This window comes from Homo sapiens, chromosome 3 (genome assembly GCF_000001405.40).
Source record: "Homo sapiens chromosome 3, GRCh38.p14 Primary Assembly".
Taxonomy (NCBI): domain Eukaryota; kingdom Metazoa; phylum Chordata; class Mammalia; order Primates; family Hominidae; genus Homo; species Homo sapiens.
This window is the reverse complement of record NC_000003.12, coordinates 49,536,344-49,561,929: the sequence shown is the minus strand read 5'-3', so window position 1 is coordinate 49,561,929 and position 25,586 is coordinate 49,536,344. Positions and strand designations below refer to the sequence as shown.

At 49.9% G+C, this 25,586-nt stretch overlaps 1 protein-coding gene and 1 long non-coding RNA gene across 6 annotated transcripts in view, besides 4 other annotated features; one reads left to right on the top strand and one right to left on the bottom strand.

Annotated features, from left to right (window-relative positions):
* BSN (bassoon presynaptic cytomatrix protein) overlaps positions 1–7,453 on the bottom strand; it is a 118,654-nt gene extending 111,201 nt beyond the window's left edge. For all 5 annotated transcript variants that reach the window (XM_047449150.1, NM_003458.4, XM_047449149.1 and 2 more), the window contains exon 1: positions 7,104–7,453. In XM_047449150.1, coding sequence (XP_047305106.1) covers positions 7,104–7,327 — 224 coding nt within the window. In that variant the 5' untranslated portion in view covers positions 7,328–7,453. The remainder of the gene's footprint in view (positions 1–7,103) is intronic.
* Positions 7,066–7,275: a silencer, noted in NCBI's record as "silent region_14369". NCBI's record gives its function as "represses an Ori minimal core promoter by ATAC-STARR-seq in GM12878 lymphoblastoid cells {active_cell/tissue: GM12878}" and the evidence as "EXISTENCE:reporter gene assay evidence [ECO:0000049][PMID:35858748]".
* Positions 7,346–7,645: a silencer, noted in NCBI's record as "silent region_14368". NCBI's record gives its function as "represses an Ori minimal core promoter by ATAC-STARR-seq in GM12878 lymphoblastoid cells {active_cell/tissue: GM12878}" and the evidence as "EXISTENCE:reporter gene assay evidence [ECO:0000049][PMID:35858748]".
* On the top strand, positions 7,564–12,624 carry BSN-DT (BSN divergent transcript). Its single transcript, NR_038866.1, has 3 exons — positions 7,564–7,889; positions 8,243–8,382; positions 10,488–12,624. It is a non-coding gene; the product is annotated as a BSN divergent transcript (long non-coding RNA).
* Positions 21,738–21,967: a silencer, noted in NCBI's record as "silent region_14367". NCBI's record gives its function as "represses an Ori minimal core promoter by ATAC-STARR-seq in GM12878 lymphoblastoid cells {active_cell/tissue: GM12878}" and the evidence as "EXISTENCE:reporter gene assay evidence [ECO:0000049][PMID:35858748]".
* Positions 24,174–24,674: an enhancer, noted in NCBI's record as "H3K27ac hESC enhancer chr3:49574689-49575189 (GRCh37/hg19 assembly coordinates)". NCBI's record gives its function as "activates a minimal SCP1, AML or CMV promoter by ChIP-STARR-seq in primed H9 embryonic stem cells {active_cell/tissue: H9 hESC(primed)}" and the evidence as "EXISTENCE:reporter gene assay evidence [ECO:0000049][PMID:30033119]".

Below are 25,586 nucleotides of genomic sequence, written 5' to 3'. Positions count from 1 at the left end.
AGGCTGAGACATGAGAATCACTTGATCCCAAGAGGCAGAGGTTGCAGTGAGCTGAGATCACGCCACTGCACTCCAGCCTGGGCGACAGAGTGAGACTTTGTCTCAAAAAAAAAAGAAAAGAAAAAATAACAACAACAAGAGATCTACTGTACAACACGGTGACTATAGCTAACACCAATGTATTGCATTCTTGTAAATTTCTGCTAATAGATTTTAAGCATCCTCACCACAAAAATGGTAAGTATGTTAAGTCATGACTATGTTAATTCACTTGACTTAGCCATTCCATAATATGTCATAATATGTACATATTTCAAAACATCAGGTTGTATATAATAAATATATAGTGCATAATTTTTGTCAATTTAAATAATTAATTAAAAAAATTTTTTTAATGGGAGTGACCCTTGTTACCTGCCTGCAAACACAAATGTAACAGTGTAACTATTAGGAAATTTCCTCACCTACCCTTTCTCCCAAGAACCCAAATGCCTTAATGGTTCTTCCAGCATCTTTGGGAGGTTTGGCTCCCCACACAAGCCAGTGGCATTGAAGAGCTCGGGCTCCTCTGGATACAGGGGTTAGTCCCAGATAGGACTGGGTGGGGTGATCCTTGCTGCTGAGGCTCTTGGATCTCCTCAGTGTTTGGGACCAAGATCCAAAAGCCATCCCTTCTATTTCCCCTCAGGGAAAATCTCTTCTTCACCGTTGGCCCTGACAGCAGCCTCACCCACTTTAGGGGCAACCAGGCCTCTCCAGGCCATTCAAGATTTGATCTGATCCTGGGGTGATCTAGAGCTCCCTGGAGGCTTCCCATGTGCCTCCATGTGACCCTCTTGTTAGAAAGAAGTAGGGGCCCCAGGTCTCTGCTAGAGCAAAGCTCTCTTTAGAACCCTATGTGCCCGTAAAGACGAATAATAGGAAGGAGAGATCACAGCAGCCCTGTGGCCAGCCTGGGAGCCCAAGGCACAACACAGATGTGTCAGGGAGTATCCCATTCCACAGCAGAGCTGACCAGAACCTAAAATATAAGACAAATGGGCCAAGAGAATGCTAGGGGGCAACAGACCCCCACTAGAAGCCCGATCTGTACAGAAGGAACCACAGAGAGTGAGACACCAAAATTCTATCACCCCTACCACAGGCAGGAGCCCACAGGCCAGTGTCCCAATTCACTCCACAGCTTCAACCACTGTGCTAGTGAGAGGAGATGGCAGAGGTCCCTCCAGAAAAGGAGCTCGGGCAAGTGCTACAAATGCAGGATCAATACCAGCATGACATGCTCCTGGCACCAAATGAAAGGACTGAGCAGGAGTCCCCCACAGCTAGATTGTTCACCAAGTCCCAGCTTACCCAGAGGGCCTCATGTCCTAAAGTGACAGTCAGCCCTTGCTGTAGGCATGCAGGGCTTAGCCACCATTTTACCATTTAAAAAGTCAGTCCCCAGGCAGTAAGTAAAGTCAGGACAGGCAGGGCCTGCAGAAGCTGAATGGCCAAGCAGGTGGAATAAGAAATAAAACACCTAGCAGAATGTCTGTGATGAGGCAGTCATTCAGTAATGGTAGTCATAACTGCTATTACAGTGTTGCCAACCTACCTTCACAGTTAGCCCCAACTTACTGCACATGGCCCACAGGCTCCAGCAACAGGTTCCCCTCACATAGCCCACACATAGTAGGTCTGGCCTTCCACACCCCCACAACTAACAAGAGGAAAGGGCCCAATTCAGAAATGCAGGACCTGTGATAAGGGGAAAGATTTATTAAGCCCCCAAATGTGAGTAGGAGGCTTCCTACTCACATATGCAGGGAGGGCTCCCCCACACTGGGGTGAAAGGCATGACTTTTCTGGGGGAAAAAAAAAACAACTTTCCTCTGAAAGCTTTGACTTCTTAAACTCAGAACCAAACTGACTCAGAGGAAGGAGATCTTTAGAAAAGGAACAGAAAAGTGGTCCACTGCATTGTTCTTTGGCTCCCAATTAGCCCAAACCCTGGTTCTGCTTTCAGTGAACTCTCAGCCTCTCCATGTCTGAAGCCTTCAATAAACTCTTTTTTAAAAAGCTAGAATTTCTTGACCAAAAGAATAAAATTTGAATCTGATTAGCTTCTAGACAGAATTCTCAGTTTACAAGAAAAACATGGGACAGAGGAACATCTTAAATGACACCACAGGGATGCAATCAGCATAATCCTGAATATGAGAAACCACAGGACAAATGTCATAGTTCTCTAATAATAAACTGCAAGGAGCAAAAAGGAGAGAAAATACATAAAGAAACTAGACAGATGCATCAGACAAATTCAATGTGTAGACCCTGTTTAGATCACAATTCAAACCAATAATAAAAGTAAATTCATAAGACAATCAGAAAAGTAGAATCCTGACTGAATATTTGCTGAGTTTAAGAAGAGATCATTATCTTATTTAGATGTGGCTGTGGTGCTGTGGTTATGTTCATGCAAAGCCCTTATTTCTTGGAAATACAAACTGAAATACTGATGATGAAATTTTGGGATGTCTGGAATTTGCTTCTCTAGGGGGTAGGATGTGAGAGAGATAAATTAAACTCAATTGGCCATAAGTTGATGATGGCAGTGGCTAAGCAATGGGAACACAAAAGTTCATTAGACCATTTCCTCTACTTTCATGTATGTTTGAAATTTTCCATAGTAAAAAAAAAATGTTTAAGATAGCATTTCTCGGCCAGGCACAGTGGCTCATGCCTGTAATCCCAGCACTTTGGGAGGCTGAGGCGGGCAGATCACCTGAGCTCAGGAGTTTGAGACCAGCCTGGCCAACATGGTGAAACCCCGTCTCTACTAAAAATACAAAAATTAGCTGGGTCTGGTGGTGGGTGCCTGTAATACCAGCTACTCAGGAGGCTGAGGCAGGAGAATCGCTTGAACCCGGGAGGCAGAGGTTGCAGTGACCCGAGATCGCGCCACTGCACTCCAGCCTGGGCGACAGAGCAAGACTCTGTCTCAAAAAACAAAAAACAAACAAACAAAAGACAGTATTTCTCCTCCTAATGTCTCCATTACATTTTTACATTTTTTAAATCAACAGCACCTTATTAGTCTTAATGATGCTGTGAGCAACTGTATTATCAAAAGTAGCCTGCTTTCCCTGGAGAAATGCAAAAATGGTTGCCCTCTGGGTAAAATTTTGACATCGTCACCATTCAGATGTAAGGTCACTTTAATTCACACTCCATGACATACCCTCTGTGAGATCCAGCCACTGGGGACAAAGAAGATCTCTAAGTGACAAAGGAGCATTATTTCCAGACCTGGCAATTATGTCCTTTCATTTTATCTTTACAAGTTAGTGCCAGATTTTTCTAGAGGCTGAGTTGGCTGATATAATGTAACAAGTCTGACTAATCCCAGACCAGAGATACTATGCCTGACAAATCCATTTTGAAAAAGGAATTCGGGGTATGGTTCTCAGAGCAGCCTTGCCCACCTTCCAGTAAACAACCAGGTTCTCTGTGCCTAGCTGCCTTTGGCTTAGGGTGTCTGTCTCAATAACATATGGGCCAGGAGTGAAGAGAGGCGACTTTGGCATTGATTACGCATTCTGATGGGCAATGATGGAGAAGGGCCTCTGTTGGCTTTGCCCTGGCTTTCCCCCACCACCCTGCACTCAGCCTCATTCTCTGCTCACTGTCCCTGCCTGTGTAGACCACATTCTTTATGCCATTTATCTCTATCTCTACCTCTCTTAACCCAGTCATTTTTCCAGCCTTACATCTCTACCTCTCCTAAAGCTTAGCTGTGCCTCTCCACTCTTCCCAATTAACAACCCTGTAAGCACTGCTTATTTGACATTTCTCAGATACTGAGCTGCCCACAGTGTCTCTCTTAGGGTTCTTCCATGATTTGGCTCTTCAAGAGCTATCTGACCAACCAGTCTGTGAGGTGCTGAAGGACAGGGAAGCACTATATATCCTTTCCATACCATCCACAAAGCCAATAACTGTGCTTGCTCTTGACAGCTGACAAATACACCTTAGCTGATCGACTAGATATCAATTTGCAAACATCAAAACATGTGCAAGTTGGGCCGGGTGCAGTGGCTCCCGCCTGTAATCCCAGCACTTTGGGAGGCCGAGGCAGGTAGATCACAAGGTTAGGAGATCGAGACCACGGTGAAATCCCATCTCTACTAAAAGTACAAAAAATTAGCTGGGTGCGGTGGTGGGCGCCTGCAGTCCCAGCTACTCGGGAGGCTGAGGCAGGAGAATGGCGTGAACCCAGAAGGTGGAGCTTGCAGTGAGCGGAGATCGTGCCACTGCACTCCAGCCTGGGCGACAGAGCGAGACTCCAACTCAAAAAAAAAAAAAAAAAAAACTGACAGGTGCAAGTCCACAGAGCTGGTGTAAACTAGACAGGCTGCCACTGGTCTACATGGCTCCTTCGTGTAATTATTTTAAAAAGTACTTTCTGGGGTACTGATAAAGTTCTGTCTTGATCTGGTAGTGTGTCACGAGTGTATGTATAAATAAAATCCCATCAATATGTGTGTTCCACTGTACATTAGGCATATCTCCATAAATAAGTAAATGAATTAACGAGTGAATGATGCCCCTTCATCTAAGAGGATGCAGCCTACACCAGGGCACACAGCTTGGAGAGTGGAGCCTGGGTTAGAGTTCAGCTTTCTCCCAAACCAGCACTCCTTGGAAAAGGCACAGATTATATAATTGTACATGGCCACCCTGACACCAGAAGCAGAGAGCCCTTCCTTGAGGGACTCTCCAATGCCCAAAGCTCCACATCATCCCGACGGGCTAAGAGGCACCACTATGGGTGTGGCAGCACTGCTACTCATGGGATTCAAGTCAGGCTCTTCAGCAGCAAATGCTGGAGCCACCCCCTCACAGAGTCCAACTCAGCTCAGTATGAGGATGAAAAGACTAATTCAGCCTGGGATGACAAGGTAATATGGCAATAGCATTTAACTCCCCCAGAATCATCTCCCTTTTACCTGGCCTTCTACCCACCTCTATGAGGTTTCTGACTGCCCCGAAATTCAAAATCTTACTGAAAGCAAATATGTCTTTGTGCTAATGCTCTTTCCTGAATGCCCAGAAGCACATTCACAGGGCTTTTTCCCCATCAATGGGCCAATCTGTTCAGCAGCATCTTAGAACATGCTAAATTTGGCATCAGGTATCTGAGATGCTCTAGTGAGAGGAAGTAGAAGCCATTGCAATACTAAAGGAGAGATAAGCCATGGAGCTGCTGCTCAGCTGAGGTGCTATGATAAAATGAATATCAGCTGGAGGAGTAAATCCCACCTCCTAATGGTCTCTGGTTCTGAGCTTTGGGGACAAATAGCCAGCTCACCTCCTGAGTCTGATAGTCACAGGACCTCAGCACCACAGGCTCAGGTATGAGCCTTGCCCACAGCCAGGTAAGAGATTGTGTGACTACTAAATCCATCAGGAGTCCGTGGTTCGCCTCACCCACAGCAGTTCATGGGTCTGCCTGCAGCAGAATGTACAGATGAAGTACAAATGAAACACTAAAAAGGCATATGAGCAATAGACATCAGCCTCCTTCCGGTCCCTCTGAGCTGCCCAGGTCTTTCCAGAATTTCATATGATTGGCTCTGCAACATCTGATAAACTACAAGCAGAGCAGCCTGTTTGGTTATCAGAAGAGAAATGACAAATTCCCCATACAGGGAACTCTCAATAACAAGGTGTTTTTCCATTCAGCTACAGAAGCTTTCCCTTGGAAGGAGAACACTAAAGCCTGGGTGAGCCTCCCTCAAGCTAAAACCCAAACAGCAACTCAACATGCAGCAAAATGGACAGTGTTTGCAGTGCTAAGAGCTGTGTGCTATCCAACTGCATTACTATTATAGCTAGTATAAAATGGACAAATCCCACCTCTAAAAAGGATGCTCACAGGCTGACCTGTCTGCCGCAGGTTTCAAGCTACTAACAGCCTTTCATTACTGTTAGTTGTCTAAGAAATGACTTCTGAGGAAATAAACACACAAGAGGCACAGTCGGGCAGCCAAAGAATAAAAAATTATGCGTCCTCAGTTTATGTGCTTCCACACAGAAAAGCCAGGGCAACATATATCAGCAGACCCACATGGAGCTGGAAGCACCTCCCTCCCACCCCCTGGGGGTTTTGCTACTCCCCAAGCCTATTTGGTGCAAAGATAATGCCTTCCATTTTATCGTGTCATCTCTTAGTAGTTTTCCTGAGTTTTCAGTCTACTGACTTATTATATATTGGCATTCCCTTACAGCCTTCATTGCCACTTGACTGTTTTTGCAGGACCTGGGTTGGCATACATTTAAAACAAACTGGTTTCACAGTATTTAATCAGATATGTTCTGTTTAAAGCATTCTGTGTGGGTTTCAGCTTTTCCACTGGTTTGATCTAAATCATAAGGTAACGAGAACATATCTGGTGCTGGATGACTCAATAGCATTTTTGCTTCACCCCAAAATGTTTCCCTAAACCTTGGTGAAAGCACATGATCCTATTAGTATTGTTGGGCCTAAATAAGCACCTCTTGGTGTCCAGTGGGCAATTTTCCTTTCCCCCAAAGGTGATTACAGCCACTAAATGCCCAAGGAAAGCCCAAGACCAAGTTCATGGTTCAACTATTTTCATCTCTCTGTTCCTCGCAGTGACACTTATCTTCCCTGACAGCCACTCCCATTGTGCTGTTTTCTCGGCCCAGCACAATGGACACATGCAGACACCAGCAGACAGGGAGGACGTTTTCCATCCCATTGCTCTCCTGTGCGGAGGGACCAGGTTAAGGTTACATAAGCCCCTCCTGAGCAGTCAGGCCCGAGCGTTGGGGAGAAGCGAATTTGGGGTTCGTGACGGAGTCACGGTCTGCAGGCCCCGACTGACCCTGCGCTCGTCATCCTGCCACGCCAAGGCGGGGCAGCTGGAAAGGAAGGGCCGCTTCCCGCGACCACCCAGTTCACGCCAATCCGGCAGGGTTCAGAGTGCGGCCGGACGTCGAACCTCGCTGTCCACACTAGATCGCGGGATCCTGGGCCCGGGTCCCGGCCTCAGGCTGCAGCTCACCGCCCCCCGGGCGCCGAGACACGCGCTTACCTGCCCGGGCCAGGGCCGGGACCGGGGCCGGGGCCGGGGCCAGGGACCGGTGGTACCGCGGTCGACCGCGCTGCTCCCGCCGCGGGGAGCTGTCCGCCACCGGCCGGTGCTGAAGGCGGCTTTCCTGCGCCGGGGCCGGGGCCGGGGCCCGGGCCGGGGCCGGCGCCGCCGGGCGGCAGCGGCCCGTCGCCAGCGCCGCCCTCCAGGCTGACCTCGTTGCCCATGGCGGGCAGGCGGGCGGGCGGGGTCGGGGTCGCGCTGCGCCCGGGCCGGCGGCTCCCGGGCGGTGCTCACACTCTCGGCGCCGCCGCTGCCGCCGCCATCTCCCAGCTCGGCTCGCGCCGCCGCCTGCCGCTGCGCATGCGCGTCTCGCGCCCCCTTCCCTGCACACGCCCCCCTTCCCCTGTGCGCGCTCCCGCCAGCCTCGGGGTCGCTGGGAAACAGCCGCCGGCGCCCGCGCATGCGCTGTCCAGGGCCGACGCGGTTGTATCATGCTGAGAAGGAGCCGGGCGGGGGCCGGCGGGGCTGCGAGGGCCCTGTGAGGAGGGGCACCTGCCACTAGAAGCGGCCTCTGGGACGTCGCGCTGAGCCCTGCTTTGGAGTCAGAGGGGCTTTCCGCCTCGGTGAACTCGAGAGTAGCAACTCTCCTCCGGGTAACCGGAGTGCCACAGCGGGCAGGCGTCATAAGGACAGGCCTCGGAGAGGAGAGGGGCTACCCGAGAATGGCCTCAAAAGTATGCATAGGAGTTGGGAAGGCAGAGGAACAAGTGTATTCAGAGACGCAAGGTCGTAGAGGGAAGGAGAGGGAGGGTGCTGGGTGGTCGGGCCGGATTGTGAGGGTCTTTAAGGCCAGCTGGGGAGTGGAGCCTTTATCCAGATGGCGATGGGAACCATCTGGGATTCACACTGAGGAACTGGGAGTCTCAGGAAGCGCCCCGGGCACAGATGGAAGGTGTGACAGGGCTGTGTGAAGCCAGCTGGGAGGCCACCTCAGTCAGCCCTGGGAGAGTGACCTTGGGGATGGAAAAGAGGACTTGATGGTTCTCAGGCCTGGAGCTGTCTCGATGCGGGGCCGCAGGTTGCCTCTGCATTACCCTGAGAGCTTTCCAAATTACTTCCCCGCTCCCTCACATTTACAGCCGGTTTCTGCCCGCTACTCAGGATTGTCTGCCGTGGTGGCTTCTCACACAAGCCTGTACTTTCCTGTGGGAGAATATTTCCTAGGAGCCTATATTCCAGTTCATCTCTGACGTCATAAATCATGACTGTGTAGAAAGGCGTGAGTAACTTGAACCCATTTTACAAACCCATTCAATTCTCCTAATGTTGCGAAATATATCACATAGGGTGTTAGCAGTTCTAACTGAACCTAGAATAATCCAGGGATCCCAGTGAATGCTGATAGCCAGCCTGCTGGACAGACCGGTGGCTGTGTCAGTTCTTGTGAGGAGGGGCCAGGACCCTCCCTGGGCCTTCCCCTGTGCACTCCGAGCTGCTCCTCCCGACCTCTGGGATGGAGCAAGTAAGAGAAAGAGGAAATGCAGAGCCCCCACTTCCTGATATTTTCTCCTGACTTCATACCTCCCGTTTTCACGCTAAACTGCCTGGCCCCTCTGGGATGACCTAGGATGAAGAGAGCCTCTCTTCCTGCAGATGATGGTCCTTGCTGTGTTTCCTCCTGTGCTGCAGGATGTTTGATACAGCTTCGTGAGTGGTGACTACATGTGCACATTTAGGCTCCAAAAGAGTCTGCACCTCAGCCCCGATAGGACCCTTGGCAACTGACTTAGGCTCACTGAGCCTCCATTTCCTATTCTGCAAAGTTAGAATCTTAGTAGCTCCTCGAATATGGGGGATTGTAAGGGTAGAGTGGCTGATGTAGATATTTTATTTTTTATTCATTTTATTTTTTTTATTTTTATTTTTTGGAGACAGACTCTCGCTCTGTCACCCAGGCTGGAGTACAGTGGTGTGATCTCGGCTCACTGCAACCTCCACCTCCCGGATTCAAATGATTCTCCTGCCTCAGCCTCCCTAGTAGCTGGGATTACAGGTGCCCACCACCACACCTGGCTAGTTTTTGTATTTTTAGTAGAGATGGGATTTCACCATGTTGGCCAGGTTGGTCTTGAACTCCTGACCTCTGGTGATCCTCCCACCTCGGCCTCCCAAAGTGCTGGGATTACAGGCATGAGTCAATGCACCCAGCCTGATGTAGGTAAAACACCAGGACAAGTGCCTGGTATACTTATGACAACTCTGTTATTAGTTGTCTCCCTGGTGATGGTCTGGGATGTGGCGGTCTTGTGCCATATATTTCCTCCTGGGGAAGAATATGCTCACAAACACTATGGGCAGGCCAGTGGCCTGACCTTGTCCCAACCCAGGCTGTTATAGCTTCACAGACCCCAGTCAGTGTGGGTTGGGCTACTTGAAACAGGGGAAAGGATGTTTATTTTTTTGTTTTTGTAGAAACCACAGGAGCTATGGCTTTCCACAGATTTAAATCAACATGCCTCTGGTTCCTGTGTGGTTAATTAGCTCTACCCAGCCTGCAGGCTTGGGGAGTTGCCCTCCTCAGAGTGGATTCCTGGCTGTTAGCAGACCTCCAGGGTCTTTGCTGCCCTGGTGACAAAGGGCACAGCACAGTGGACCCAGGAGACCTGAAAATGTGGGTTAGAGGTGCCCCTCCTCTCCTCTCAAACTCTCCCAGTTCTGTTTCCTTTGAGGAGCATCCCCAGGAACATGCCTGCCCTGTGTTCATTCACCCTTGACATTCAGCCCAGGGACTCTTGTGGACCATGGGATGGTATTGGCCTCTGGTTATCTGGGGCTCTGATTCAATCTCCCATTTCCATTCACTGTCCCAGAGGCTGTTTACCTCCTTTTGATCTAGACTGGGGCTCCTCAACAGCAGGACCTTGTCTGACTGGTCCTATCCCCTGGGCTGGCCTTCAGCAGGCCCTCTGGGGCTCATGGTTGTGCTGGCTTCTCCATGACGCTCTGAGCATTTCCCTCACCTGCGCTTCTAAAGGGCCCACCAATCACCAGGCTTAAAAGCACTCAGAGAGATCTTTGGCTTTAGCTGCTGAGCTAATAAGTAACAGGGAGAGTGCTGGGATTGCATCTGGTTTCTCCTCATGGAGGGGTTGTTGATGAGCTCTCTTCACTCATCCAGGAAAATTCACTAGGCTTGACTATGCTTTATGACAAATGAATAAACAAATCTTTCAGTTTATGCAAGCCAGCTGTGTGGTGTGTCAAGTATCATGTCCTCCTGGGTCCAACTGCTGCCCCACCAGGGACAGGATAGACCTAGAGACCCTGCAGGAGTTTCCCAGTCCCCTAAGCTTCACTTGCTGAAATATCTTCTTCCCACTTCAGCATAACATGTGACACATGGCAGCCATTTTGGAGATGGCCAGATGAGAGGACAATCAATCCACATGCCTAAATGGAACCAACAGACATGTGCCAGCTTGCTTCTCCAGCCTATGTTCTCAGACACTTGTAGAAGACCAGAGGGAAAATGGAATCAGAAAAAACAGCAACAACAACAAAAAGCCATCCAGGGCCATGCACAGTGGCTCACTCCTGTAATCCCAACAGTTTGGGAGGCCAAGGCAGGTGGATTGCTTGAGCTCAGCAGTTTAAGACCAGCCTGGGCAACATGGCGAAACCCTTTCTCTACTAAATACAAAAACTAGCTGGGTGTGGTGGCATGCACCTGTAGTCCCAGCTACTCGGGAGGCTGAGGTGGGAGGATCACCTGAGCCTGGGAGGTTGAAGCTGCAGTGAGCTGTGATGGTGCCACTGCACTCCCACCTGGGTGACAGAGCAAGACCCTGTCTCAAAAAAACAAAACTAAACAAAAAAATCCATGTGGGAAAAGGCCCAATCAGAGCCAACTCACTGCTGGGATTAGTAGAAATGATTAGTCACCAGAAGGCAAATCGTGGAAGAATGAAGAGATGACAGGACCTCAGGAACTACACCCAGAGGTGTAGTTGTGCCGTAGGCAAAGCATCATGCCGGTCATCCCCAAGAAAGGGAGAAGGGGTAGAGCTCAGACTCTTCCCTGCTTCCCCATAAGTCCAGTTTACCCTGGGCTGATCCTTTCAGCATGGCAGCCTCCGTGGGGAGGCACGAGATCCAAAGATGAAGATGTCTATGGGGGTGAAGAAGAATGGCAAACTTTGCAGGCAAGAGTAGGCATTAGAGAGATCAGAGGAGGAAGACAATAGAGAAGGATGACACAGGACAGGCTGTATCTAGAGGATATAATGCCATGGACTTTGGACTATTCCAGAGAGGCTGAGAGACCTGTCTCCTGCCTACAAGGCTCCTTGAACTCTGCACCCTTCTTTTTGCTAAAGTGCTGCTGAGGCCTGTCTCACTTCCCAATGAAAAGCAACTCAGGAAATTGGCTTCCTGCCCCACTCCTTCTTTGGGAGAGAGAAACAGAACTGAAGAGGAAGGAAGGAAGCCCAAAGAAACAGAGGCTTTCTTTCCTGGCTGAGATTTGTTGGCACTGCCCACTAACATAGAGAATAAGGTGGTTCCCTAAGCGAGCCTTAAGCTGGCATGAGGCTACAAACAAGTGATTGTATCTTCGTTCTGCTCAGCAGCCTACCTGGGCTGGCCTGGACAACCTCAATTGTATACTGAGGTCTTAAGCTGGCCATGGCCCTTGGTAAAGCAGGAGAAAGGAATAAGGCTGGAAGGTACAGAATTTGCTTGATGCCTTGCCTACATAATTCCTTTGCTGTTGCAACTGGCAACTCTTTGCTTGCATTATATGAAAAAAAGGCGGTAAAAAATTGTCAGAAATGTTTGCCACCAGCCTAACCCCACTGCCCATGCATTGCTCCCAAGAAAGCTAATTAAGGCCCATTGCTATTAGAGTTACATGATTCTGAAGGCTTGTTATGACAAGAAAAAATAATGAAGACATGGTTCCTCCAAGTCATAAGCATCCAAGTCAAAACATACTGCATCCCAGGCGAGTGTGGTGGCTCACGCCTGTAATCCCAGCACTTCGGGAGGCCAAGGCAGCCGGATCACGAGGTCAGGAGTTCGAGACCAGCCTTGCCAAGATGATGAAACCCCGTCTCTACTAAAAATACAAAAATTAGCCAGGCATGGTGGCGGGCGCCTGTACTCCCAGCTACTCAGGAAGCTGAGGCAGGAGAATCGCTTGAAACCGGGAGGCGGAGGTTGCAATGAGCCGAGATCACACCACTGCACTGTACCCTGGGCGTCAGAGCAAGACTCCATCTCAAAAAAAAAAGAAAAAAACATCCTGCATCCCTTGTTCCTTTGTGTTCCCCTAGACAAGCCTCTGGGCTGGCTTTGCCTATCTCATGCATGCAGGCAGTCATCCTCCTTTGGCCAGTGCATACCTGACTCCTACTCAGTGCCAGGCCTGGAGAAGACTGTGAGACCTGCCCTTGAGGAGTTCTGTTTGCAGGAAGAGAGTGATAGGCACACAAATTATTTCCAATAAACTACAGAAAATGTCACCAGAATCTCTATTGTGATCATGTCCCCCACCCATGTCTGTTTCATAGATTGGGGGAGAACAGGCCCGGGTGGAAAGTCATGCACTTATGCCCTCTCCTGACCAGCCCACATGTCCTACCCCAGCCAACAGTGGTTCAGGCATGACTCTGACTGCTCATGGGAAAGAGCAGCTTGCTCAGCCCCTCCATCAGACTCAGTTCTGCATGTCTTTAGGGAAGTCTCTCAGAGAGGTCCTTACCTCCCGACTCCTCTGTGGCTCTTCTACTGCAAACCCAAGGACACTTCTGAGAATCACCCTTTACCATCAGGAATCTCAGGCCACGGGACATAGCCACTCTCTCCACTGAGCTCTATCTCTGTCCTAATCAGAATGGATTGTAGTAGGGGCTTGTTTGTTCTATCATCTTTACCAAGTGCCCAGGGAGCTCCCAGAAGCCACTGGAAAAGCTTCTGCCTTCCAGGAAAGATAGAATGGGGTAGGGAATGAGTCCCTGATAGTGAAGCAAGAGCCTTGTGGCAAGGAGAAAGGTCCATAGTGCCAGACACGGTGGCTCATGCCTGTAATTCCAGTAATTTGGGAGGCTGAGGTGGGCAAATGGCTTGAGCCCAGGAGTTCAAGACCAGCCTAACAACATAGTGAAACCCATCTCTACAAAAAATACAAAATTAGCCAGGTGTGGTGGCATAAGCCTGTAGTCACAGCTACTCAGGAGGCTGAGGCGGGAGGATCACTTGAGACTGGCAGGCAGAGGTTGCAGCGAGCTGAGATCGTGCCACTGCACTCCAGCTTGGGCAATAGAGTGAGACTCTGTCTCACAAACAAAAAATTGGCACTTTTTGAGCTCTAGGATGAGGACAGCACTGTGCCAGGCCCACAGGATACAGCAGAAACCAAGACTGCTAAACTCTTCTGCCCTCACTGAGCTTGTGATCTCGAAGTCTGGTCTTTGCCTGTCTGCTGCTCAAACCAGGCCCTGAACCTGGAGAGCTTGACTTCTGGCCCTCAGTACAGGACCACTACCCTGCCCTATAGTGGTGGGTGTAGTCACAGCATCACCAGGCCAGGCCATGAGCACTAAAATCATACTCAGGCATCAGGGTTGTCTGAGGAGAACCCCTCTTGGCTCCTCCAGGTTCTGGGCTGGGTGGTAGCAGGTATCAGTCAGGTAGCCACATCTGGGTTACCACAGCTATGTATGTATTAAAAAACCCCTCCAGCTGGAAGGCCTGGCATGGACATCAGCTTTCTGAGAAGGCAGTCTTTCTGACAATGAGCTGACAGTACAGACTGAAAATTCCTTTTAAGGCTGGGCAAGGGACATCATCTGCTACCAAGAGAACAAGAAAGGTCACATATTCAGCTGAGATTCCAACCAGGCCCACCTTCCATCTCCAGCTCTGCTCCAGGGATCTTCTTGGGGCTCACAGGGTTGGCACATTCGTCTCCTAGCCCTGCATGATCATGAGCCTCTCTGAGGAGGATGGAGTTCCAGGAGTAAGCTCATGTGCTGCCTGAACCCAGGGCAGGGTTTGGGGCACAGTGATTGCTGAGTCAGAGCCACTGGGGTCACACTCAGTACCTTTTCAGCCTCTCATATGCATTCTAATCATTACTTTGGACACAGGAAGGCAGAGTTACCCCCTGCCCCAAGCATACCATGTGCTCCTCAAAGAAGTCCAGGAATACACATCTTCAGCATCCCCCAGGAAACTGTTAGGAAGATGCATAGGAAGAGAGCAAGAGACAGGAGGAAACTCAACAGCCAAACAGGTTTATTTACAGGAATAAGCCTGCGAGGCGTCCCAGTCAGGAGTCTGCCTGAGACCCTGATCGATTACAAGCTGAGGCTTTTATAATAAAGTTTCTACTGGGGAGGGGTTGGGGAAGTGCTGGCTGGCTGGGACTGTTGCGGACTTTTCCAGCTGGGGGTAGATGTAGTTAGGGCTGTTATGCTCTGTTGAAGCTATAGGCAGGGTTGACATTTGCTTTGTTTCTGAGAACACAGTAGCCAAGGTTGTAAAATGGCATAACTATTGTTAGTCCTCATATTCTCCCCCTCTTTGTTTTAATTATCTCTTTGGATAGGGTTTTTAGCAGAGGGGTAGCTACTCGTTCTGACTGCTTCCTGCTGGTTTAGGGGTGATGGTGTGGGGGGAGGTAGCCTTCCTCTGGTGATGAAGTCATTCACTCTTTCTGTGGCAGGAATGCCACCTTTATATGTCCCATTGTGGTGGCCTGAGCAATTGAAGTAACTCTTTCTAAAATGAACTTTTGAAAACAATTTAGTGGCCGGGCGCAGTGGCTCATGCCTGTAATCCCAGCACTTTGGGAGGCCGAGGCGGGTGGATCACGAGGTCAGGAGATCGAGACCATCCTGGCTAACACGGAGAAACCCCATCTCTACTAAAAATACAAATAACTAGCCGGGCATGGTGGCAGGTGCCTGTAGTCCCAGCTACTTGGGAGGCTGAGGCAGGAGAATGGCGTGAACCTGGGAGACAGAGCTTGCAGTGAGCCAAGATCGGGCCACTGCACTCCAGCCTGGGGGACAGAGCAAGACTCCATCTCAAAAAAAAAAACAAAAAGACAACAATTTATCAAGCAGGGTAAAAACAATGAAAGGACTGATGAAAGGGAGTACCCAAGGGAGGAAAGAACTGAAAAAGTCATTGGCGGGTTGTTTGCGTAGACGTTCTGCAATCTTTCTAAGTTTGGATATTCCTTCTTTTACCAATCTAGATTTGTTTGTAAAGAAACAGCATTCTTGGCTGGGCGCGGTGGCTCACGCCTGTAATCCCAGCATTTTGGGAGGCCGAGGCAGGCAGATCACCTGAGGTCGGGAGTTTGAGACCAGCCTGACCAACATGGAGAAACCCCATCTCTACTAAAAATACAAAATTAGCCCAGCGTGGTGGCTCATGCCTGAAATCCCAGCTACTTGGGAGGCTGAGGCAGGAGAATTGCTTGAACCCAGGAGGCAGAGGTTGCGGTGAGCTGAGATCATGCCATTGCACTCCAGCCTGGGCAACGAGCAAAACTTTGTCTCAAAAAAAAAAAAAAAAAAAGGAAAGAAAAAGCATTCTTCTTGCAGGAAGAGGCATAGACCTCCCTTTTTTGCAGTGAGGATGTCTAGTCCCCTATGGTTTTGAAGTACTACTGCTGCAAGGGAGTTTATTTGATCTTGTATGTGATCCAGTTGAGTTGCTATTTCCATTAGTCCCTCTTTTAGTTGGCTAGACAGGGAAACTGAAAAAGCTATAAAGTTGTGGAACTAAAGCCTATTGCAGAAGAGATTCCGAGAGCAGCGAGGATTGGAATTACCTGGATTGCCCTTTTTGTTTTGGGGTGTGTGTGTGTGTGTGTGTGTGTGTGTGTGTGTGTGTGTTTGTGTGTGTAGTGGCAGGAGAAATTCTTGGTCTTTTGTGGCAACAGACAAGGGAGGCATAACTAAGCTAAAGTGCAAGTTCCAGTCCAATTAACAGACAGGCAGTTGTAGAAATTATGTCCACATGAGAAGAAATAAGGGCTGGAGGGGGCTACACAGGCAGCAACATCTGCTTGAAATAATATGTGGTAGTTTGAGGCATCCCGACCTGATCCTCCTTCCCATTCAAATGACACAAAAGAGGAAGCTAGGTGGTCATCGGTTAATAGTTGGAGAAGGGGGTAATGAGTTACCAAAGGTATTTCTGAGAATAGTCTGTGTTCAGATGAATCAAGAAAGAATTGGGTTGGACCCGGAAGGGGAAGAAGTTGGCATTTGGATTTTTCATGTCTACCATAGATATTGAATAAAGGCAATGTATTAGCTGGCCCTCACCCACTGCAAAAATCTGACCCTTGAGGCTGGGTGCAGTGGCTCACGCCTGTAATCCCAGCACTTTGGGAGACCGAGGTGGGTGAATCACTTGAGGTCAGGAGTTCAAAACCAGCCTAGCCAACATGGTGAAACCCCATCTCTACTAAAAATACAAAAATTAGCCAGGAGTGGTAGTGGGTGCCTGAAATCCCAGTTACTTGGGAGTCTGAGGCAGGAGAATTGCTTGAACCTGGGAGGCAGAGGTTGCAGTGAGCCGAGATCTCACCACTGCACTCAAGTCTGGGCAGCAGAGCAAGACTCCGTGTCAAAAACAAAAAAAATCTGACTCTTGGTTACATTCATAAGCATTACTACATATAGGGAGAGAAAATCTTAAGGGGTAAGAGGGCGTGGCTTTGGCTGATGAGTTGGGTCACTGATGAGAATGGGTCACTTGCTCCTGTTGTAGAGGAATAACTACAATCTGTTGTGTGAGAGAGAGAAAGAGGCAGGTTACAGTCCGAGCATTTTAAAGACCCTTCTGGAACTCTGTTTAAGGAGCAGGTGAAACATATAGGGGCCTGAGTAGTGAGTGGAGTGGTGGTTCCTATAGGTCCTGTAACCATGAGGCTTTGGATAGGGGATAAAGTTTTTAGTTGTTTGAGAACGGCCTGATGCACCTTTTTGGCTATGGCTGTGGCAGGATCAGTACTTGGTTCCCAGAATGCAGATCCTAAGGTAGTTTTAGTAATGGTGAGGGTTGCCAAGGAATTGGTCCAGGCTTCTAAAGGTCCAGGGAGATAATGGTATATTGGGAACAAAGGGGGCATGCAGACCCAACAGAGTTCTGTGGAGCCTAAGTTGGCCTGTTTTAGTAAGTTGTAAGACAGCTGCAAGGTATGGTTTAAGTAAGGGGAAGAGTGGTACTAGAAGGAGACAAAGAACAAAAGAAAAAAAGGACATTTGAGATGGAGTGCAGTCTGCAAAAGTTTCCTGCAGCCATATCTCATAAAAGGAGGAGAAATAAATTATGGGGGGTGGGGGGAGCCTGGATACCAGGAAAGGTCTTCTACAAGGCAGCAAATAAAATTACTGAAAGAGTTGGTGGTTAAAGAATTGTGGGGAGTCAAGTGATCTTGAGTTTGGTGGGTCCTGTAAGAAAACAAGAAAATTGAGACAGGTTGGGATTAAGAGGAGGAGCCCTTTTAAGTTTTGAGAAATGTATCCAGGGAGCTATGCCCTTTAATTTTGCTGCAGTGGGGGGAATTGGTGGTTGTTAAAATGCCAGCTTTTAGTAATCTGGTGATGATGGGTTTTATTCCCTTAAGTCCAGCCTGACTGAGGGGATATTGGGGTTGTGAAACAATTTGGGAAGGGGCCTTAAGTTTTATTAGAAACAGCTGGTGGTATATGGCAACAGTGGGCTGAGAAGTGTCCCATACCATTGGGTTAACTCCTTGGATTGAAATTGTTGAGGACTGGGTTTGGGCTTCATTGTTTTCTGGCTGGCAAAGGAGCAAGTATGCAGGCACCTACGGTAAGGCATTCAATTGTAATGTGGCCCCAAATTTGTTGATTATATCTCTTCTAATAAGGAGTGTAGGACACTGTGGAATTACTACAAATGAGTGAGTAAAGGCAGTATTGAATAAGGTGCAGTATAATGGAGGTGTTTGAGAGTGAGCGGTAGGGTGGCCATCAACCCCAACAACAGAAATAGAGGAACAATTTAGGGGTCCATAATACTCTGGAAGAACTGAGAAACTTGCCCCAGTATCCAATAAGAAGGAGACTGGCTTACCAGATGCCATCCCAATTACCCCGGGTTCTGGAGACTCACATGGCATGGGTACAAGCAATCCCGGGCACCGTCAGTCTTCAGCTGCTAGTGTCAACAAAGAGGAGAGGTGTCCCTGTGGTGGGTTTGGGGACTGACTGGAGGATGCTGTTGAATGGGAAGGGCATTCTTGTTGAGAGCAGTCCATTTTCCAGTGTCCCCATTTGCCACATATAGGGCAAGGCTTTGTTGGAGGCCATGGGTTTGGGCAAGCCTTTGCCCAGTGTCCCGGATTGCCACGTCAAAAACAGGTGCCGGGGCCCTGAGAAGGTGATTTCTCCTTGGAACCTCTCTGGAGGGCAATGGCCAGCATCTGGTATTTAATCTTAGCCTGTTTCTCCTTTGGCACTTTATGTTCTTCCTCCCTGTTGTTGAAGACCTTGAAGGACAGATTTAAAAGGTCCCTTTGTGGGGTTTGGGGTCCCTCCTCTAGTTTTTGCAGCTGTTTCCTGATATCTGGTGCTGATTGTGAAATGCAATGTAAGTGAAGATAGGTTTGACCCTCTTGTGATTCAGGGTCTAGTTTTGTGTATTTGAGCATAGTCTCTAATAACCTTGATAGGAAAAGAGCTGGATTTTCATTTGGGCCTTGGGTTATTTCTCTAATTTTTTCATAATTTACTACCTTATCGGCATGGGCACATTTTTCCATGCCAGCCACGAGACAAGTGACCATATGGTTACGGCATTGGGTGCCAGGGTCCCCCTGTTGTTAAGTCCATTCGGGGTCGGCTAGGGGAACAGCAATGGCCGCAACAGGATTATGGACTGTATCCTGCTGATGAAGTGTGTCGGCATGGGCTTGAGCAGCTAGCCAAATATGCTCTTTCTCATCTAGGGTGAGAGTGGCTGACAGGATAACATAAATGTCATGCCAAGTAAGGTTATGTGACTGAGTAATATAAAGAAATTCCTTCTGGAAGTGGGATGGGCCAGTGGAAAAGGAGCCAAGGAGCCTCTCAACCTCCGACATGTCTGAGATTGAAAAGGGAACATGAACCCTGACTATGCCTTCTGCCCCAGCTACTTTGCAAAGGGGAAGGGTGGCCGGGGTCTGATTTTTTTTTTTTTTTTTTTTTTTTTTGAGATGGAGTTTCACTCTTGTTGCTCAGGCTGGAGTGCAATGGTGCAATCTCGGCTCACCGCAACCTCCGCCTCCTGGGTTCAAGAGATTCTCCTGCCTCAACCTCCCAAGTTGCTTGGATTACAGGCATGTGCCACCATGCCCAGCTAATTTTGTATTTTTAGTAGAGACGGGGTTTCTCCATGTTGGTCAGGCTGGTCTTGAACTCCTGACCTCAGGTGATCTGCCCGCCTTGGCCTCCCAAAGTGCAGGGATTATAGGCATGAGCCACCGCACCCAGCCCTGATTGTTTTTTGAATGAGTGACAGGTGGATAGGGGAATGAGAGAGATGGCAATGGTGCTGGCGGCTCTTGGGGAGCCTGGGGCTGGAGATATGGTGGACATTCCTCAGCAGGGTTGAAATTCCTTTCAGGGGCTGAAGGGGAGGGGTGAAAAGGGGACTGGGAGTTTTCGTTTAGCAATAAAACTTGATGAGGGGAGCAAGACTGATAGAGGGAAAGTTTTGAGTGTAAATACATGAAATCTTGGATATAAGGGACCTCGGACCAGTTGCCATTTTGTTGTAAGAAATTGTTAAGATTGCTCGGGCTGGGCCGAGCGCGGTGGCTCATGCCTGTAATCCCAGCACTTTGGGAGGCCGAAGTGGGCAGATCATGAAGTCAAGAGATCAAGACCATCCTGGCAAACACGGTGAATCCCCTTCTCTACTAAAAATACAAAAATTAGCTGGGCGTGGTGGCACGTGCCTGTAGCCCCAGCTACTCGGGAGGCTGAGGCAGGAGAATCGCTTGAACCTGGGAGGCAGAGGTTGCAGTGAGCCGAGATTGTGGAGTGCACTCCAGCCTGGTGACAGAGCGATACTCCATCTCAAAAAAAAAAAAAGATTGTTTGGGCTGGGCATTGTGGCTCACGCCTGTAATCTCAACACTTTGGGAGGCCAAGGCGGGCAGATCACCTGAGGTCAGGAGTTTGAGACCAGCCTGGCCAACATGGCGAAACCCCATCTCTACTAAAAATACAAAAAACTAGCTGGGTGTGGTGGTACACACCTGTAATCCCAGCTACTAGGGAGACTGAGGCAAAAGAATCTCTTGACCCTGGAAGGCAGAGGTTGCAGTGAGCTGAGATTGTACCACTGCACTCCAGCCTGGATGACAGAGCGAGACTCCGCCTCAAAAAAAAAAAAAAGAAAAAAAAAAAACGATTGCATTGAAGTTGGGGCTTGAAAGTGCCACTTTCCGGCCAGTAACTCAGTAACTGACATTATCCAGTTTGTACTGTGGCCAGGCCACGGTGCAGAAGAAAATTAACTGTTTAGGTTTTATAATGTCAGTAAGTCCCAACTGAACGTTGATTTTGTTGTTTTTGTTTTTGTTTTTGTATGACAGAGTTTCGCCCAGGCTAGAATGCAGTGGCGAGATCTCGGCTCACTGCAACCTCCACCTCCCGGGTTCAAGCGGTTCTTCTGCCCCAGCCTCTCGAGTAGCTGGGACTACAGGTGTGCACCACCACACCTGGCTAGTTTTTGCATTTTTAGTAGAGACGGGGTTTCACCATGTTGGCCAGGCTGGTCTTGAACTCCTAACCTCAGGTGATCCACCCGCCTTGGCCTCCCAAAGTGCTGGGATTACAGGCGTGAGCCGCTAGGCCCGGCCTCTCTCAAGACCTTTTGCAACGGAAGTGGGAAGTGATCCTAGACTACTGGCTCCAATTCCCTAGAAAGGGAGCTGGTCTGGCGTGAGCTCTGGACCATTTTGGCAGGCTCCAAACTTGGTTTTGCCCTCTATAGCCTAAGGATGCGACACCATGCGGACAGAAGACAACAGCACCCTCAGCCCTGGCCCTGGCCAGCTCCCAACTGGATGTCCCTGCTGTTCCAATGCATGCCTAGAGCTGTGAAGACTGCTTTGGGAAAGGTGTTTCCTGGGGTTTCAGGGTACCCCCACTCAGGGAAAGAGTAAGTCGCCAGCAGCCTCATCCCACGTCTGCTTCTAGTGCCAAGCAGGGGGACCCAATCACACAAGTGGAGGCACCTCATCTCCATCCAGTACCCTCCCAGATCTCACAGTACCCTATCAGGCTACCCCCTTTAGGCGGTGCCCTCAGGAGCTCTCTGGCTGGAGGAAGGAGAGACAGAGAGGCCCTGCAAGCGCTGAGCTCTATCTATACCGTGTGCAGGTCCCGCGCTGGCTCCGCGGGGCACGGGGCCTGGAGGCAGGCAAACGCTAAGGCGAGGGAGTACGCACAGGAGGGCTCCTTATTGGTTCCCCACCTCTGAATTAAAGGTTTGCTGACTGGGGTCTCGGTAGCGGAAGCCTGGGCCCCAGACTCGCCCCTCTTATTGCCTGCTCGCTTCCCTTGCCTAGGGAGAAGGGCACTGGCGAATCACAGGCTCCCCAGTTGCAGCTACACTCGCCCCGATGCCCTCAGGGACTGTGCGGCAGTGGTGGAGAGAAGACAAGTCTAGTTACACCACCAGCTAGCGGCCGCGCTCGGACTGGCTCCCCGCGGTTGGGCTACTCGCGGGCTTCGCCCCGCCCGCCCGCCGGCCCCACGGCCTTAGCCCTGCCCACAGCCCCGCTCGGCCCCGCGCTGCCGGAGATTTTCGTCCGCTCCCGAGCGGCCTCAGCTCGACCCACGGCCGGCCTCCGGAGGCTAGCGCTTTCCGGGAGCTGGCGGCGTTATTAGCCCCGCCCACAGCCCGACTCTTCAGCCCCGCCCACCGCTGGCGACTTAATCCTCTGGCGCCACCTCCTGGGAGGCCGCGGACACTGTCTCCCTCTTCGGCCCAGAGCTGCTCCTGGCAGTCCACTCTGCTGGGCTCACCTGGGGGGCATCTGGAGCCACTACCAAGGTTGGGAGCTCTCCCTATCCCCAGCCCGAACCTGCCCAAGGCCCTGCGTCTCGCCACACGGAGCCTTCACAGGGACATGGACAGAACAATTCGTCTGACCCGAACTGAGACTCTAGGATAATCGCCACCAAAACTGGGGGTAGTGGGGCTAACCAGGGCCCCAGCAACCCGGTCTTCATGCTGCCCATGCCCTAGGCTGTCCTTAGGAGGGCCCCTCCTGCAGGAGCACCCGAACTCCAGCTGATGGGAGCCCCCACTTTGAACCTCTTGCCGAACCTCCTCTAGATCTTCTAGGGTCCCCACAGGGAAATGGTACCCAGCATTTCTCCATAGGTGCTTCAAATAATTCTTTGCTGCTCTACAACAGGAACAGAATTTCATCATCAGAATTAAACCTGGCCGGGCACGGTAGCTCACGCCTGTAATCCCAGCACTTTGGGAGGCCGAGGTGAGTGGATCACCTGAGGTCAGGAGTTCAACACCAGCCTGGCCAACATGGTGAAACCTTGTCTCTACTAAAAATACAAAAATTAGCCGGCCGTGGTGGCGGATGCCTGTAATCCCAGCTACTCCAGAGGTTGAGGCAGGAGGATCGCTTGAATCCGGGAAGTGGAGGTTGCAGTGAGCCGAGATGGTGCCACTGCACTCCAGCCTGGCCGACAGAGCAAGACGCTGTCTCAAAATAATAATAGTAGTAGTAGTAATAATAATAATAATAATAATAATAATAATAATAATAATAATAAAACCTAAAGTGTTTGGGTCATATTTAGAACTGAACACGCCTCACACTAGCCACAAGACCCAGACCAATAACTCCCTTGCCCTCTCTGGGCCTCAGTGACTTTGCCTCAAGGTAGTTGTGAGGAAGGTGAGCAAAACAGGGAAAGAGTCACCAATGGATTTGGATTTTTAAGATATTGAAATCCCAGGCCAGGCGCGGTGGCTCACGCCTGTAATCCCAGCACTTTGGGAGGCCAAGGCAGGCGGATCACAAGGTCAGGAGATCGAGACCATCCTGGCTAAAACGGTGAAACCCCGTCTCTACTAAAAATACAAAAAAATTAGCCGGGCGTGGTGGCGGGCACCTGTAGTCCCAGCTACTCGGGAGGCTGAGACAGGAGAATGGCATGAACCCAGGAGGTGGAGCTTGCAGTGAGCTGAGATTGGGCCACTGCACCAGTCTGGGTGACAGAGCAAGACTCCATCTCAAAATAATAATAATAATAATAATAATAATAATAATACAAAAAATGAGCCAGGCGTGGTGGCACACACCTGTAGTCCCAGCTACTTGGGAGGCTGAGGCAGGTGAATCGCTTGAACCTGGGAGGCGGAGGTTGCAGTGAGCCAAGATGGCACCACTGCACTCCAGCCTGGGTGACAGAGCGAGACTCCGTCTCAAAAAAAAAAAAAAAAAGGAAATCCCAGCGCTTTGGGAGGCCAAGGCGGGAGGATCACTTACTTGAGGTCAGGAGTTCGAAACCAGCCTAGCCAAGATGGCGAAACCCCATCTCTACTAAAAAAAATACAAAAATTAGCTGGGTGTGGTAGCACGTGCCTGTAGTCCTAGCTACTTGGGAGGCTGAGACATGAGAATCGCCTTAACCCCGGAGGCAGAGGTTGCAGTGAGCCAAAATCACAACACTGCACTCTAGCCTGGGCCATAGAGCAAGACTTTCAAAAAAAAAAGAAAAAAAGAAAAAAAGAAATAGGCCGAGTGCAGTGGCTCATGCCTATAATCCTAGGACTTTGGGAGGCTGAGGTGGGTGGACTGCCTGAGCTCAGGAGTTCGAGACCAGCCTGGGTCACATGGTGAAACCCCATCTCTACTAAAATACAAAAAATTAGCCAGGCGTGGCAGCATGCACCTGTAGTCCCAGCTACTCAGGAGGCTGAGGCAGGAGAATTGCTAGAACCCAGGAGGCGGAGGTTGCAGTGAGCTGAGATTGTGCCACTGCACTCCAGCCTGGGCGACAGAGCAAGACTCAGTCTCTAAAAAAAAAAAAGAAAAGAAAAGAAATAGAGAAATGAAGCTCACTCTTGAAAGACTGATGCTTGAATTGGGCCTTCTTTGCTTTAGGGGAGCTAGGAAAGGGCCTCTCCTAGGAGCTTGTTCAACCTGTGGGCAACAAGGGGAGGCGAGGCTGTGGGCTACAATGAGGTAAGTAGTGTGGAGCCTCCAGCCCCCCCAAGACTGGTGGTATTCTTTTCTTTTTTTCTTTTTTTTTTTAGACAGAGTCTCAGCGTTTCGCTCTGTTGCCCAGGCTGGAGTGCACTGCAGTGGTGCAATCTCAGCTCACTGCAAGCTCCACCTCCGTGATTCATGCCATTCTCTTGCCTCAGCCTCCCGAGTAGCTGGGACTACAAGCGCCCACCACCACGCTCAGCTAACTTTTTTATATTTTTTAGTAGAGACGGTTTCACCATGTTGGCCAGGATGGTCTCATCTCCGGACCTCGTGATCCGCCTGCCTCGGCCTCCCAAAGTGCTTGGGATTACAGGCGTGAGCCACCGCGCCCGGTCCCAAACTGGTGGTAGTATTCTAGAGGCCAGGCTGGCCTAGACACACCACAAGATTTTCCAGCTAACAGCCCTTATCCCAAGACTAGCTCAAAGATCTAGGCCTAAGGCAGTGCCTTTATGACAAGAGAAAATGCAGATTCCTCTAGCATTTTCTAGAGACCAGCACTGTCTCCAAGCCAGGCCAGAGTCATTCCAAGTCAGAGGAATGTGGGAAGGCAGATTCCTGTAGGTCTGATGTTCCTTCTTTCCTACTCTCCTGTCTACGACCCTCTAACCCCAGCTTAAAAGACCTGAGCAGTCCTCATCCAAATCAAGGAACAGGGATCTGGCAGGAGTGCCAGGGGTCAAGGGTCTGCTGGGCTAAACAGCGGATACTACCCCATCCCCCAAAAGAGGCAGGGCAGAGCTGAGGCCAGAGGTCCTTCTGGCCTTAATGTTCTCTGCCAAGACCAAGTATTCCCTTACTTGAATTCAGAACAGTGAGTCCACTCATTACCCAGTGGCTTCAGGTTAGATGTTAAGCAAAAGTTCCTGAGGTCAAGAGAATAACGACGGGGTCATTTCCTGGGCCCCTGCTGCTAGGCCTAGGGAGTGAAGTGTGTGCTGGGGACAGCCTTTCCTGGCACTTAGCATGGTGCACATTCAGGTCCTAACTCCAAGTAGTTGTTGGACCTTCAACAACCCCCCCACCCTGGGAATCAGCTCTTATCTGCAATATCGGACCAGCCTCTGTGGGTCTTTGAGCAGAGGAGCAGGGGTCATGGTAAGGAGCCAGGGATGGCAGAGTTGAGCCCAGAAGAGGCACCAGTTGTTCTGTGACCAATCACTCGATTCTGCCCCTTTGCCCCTTGAAACACA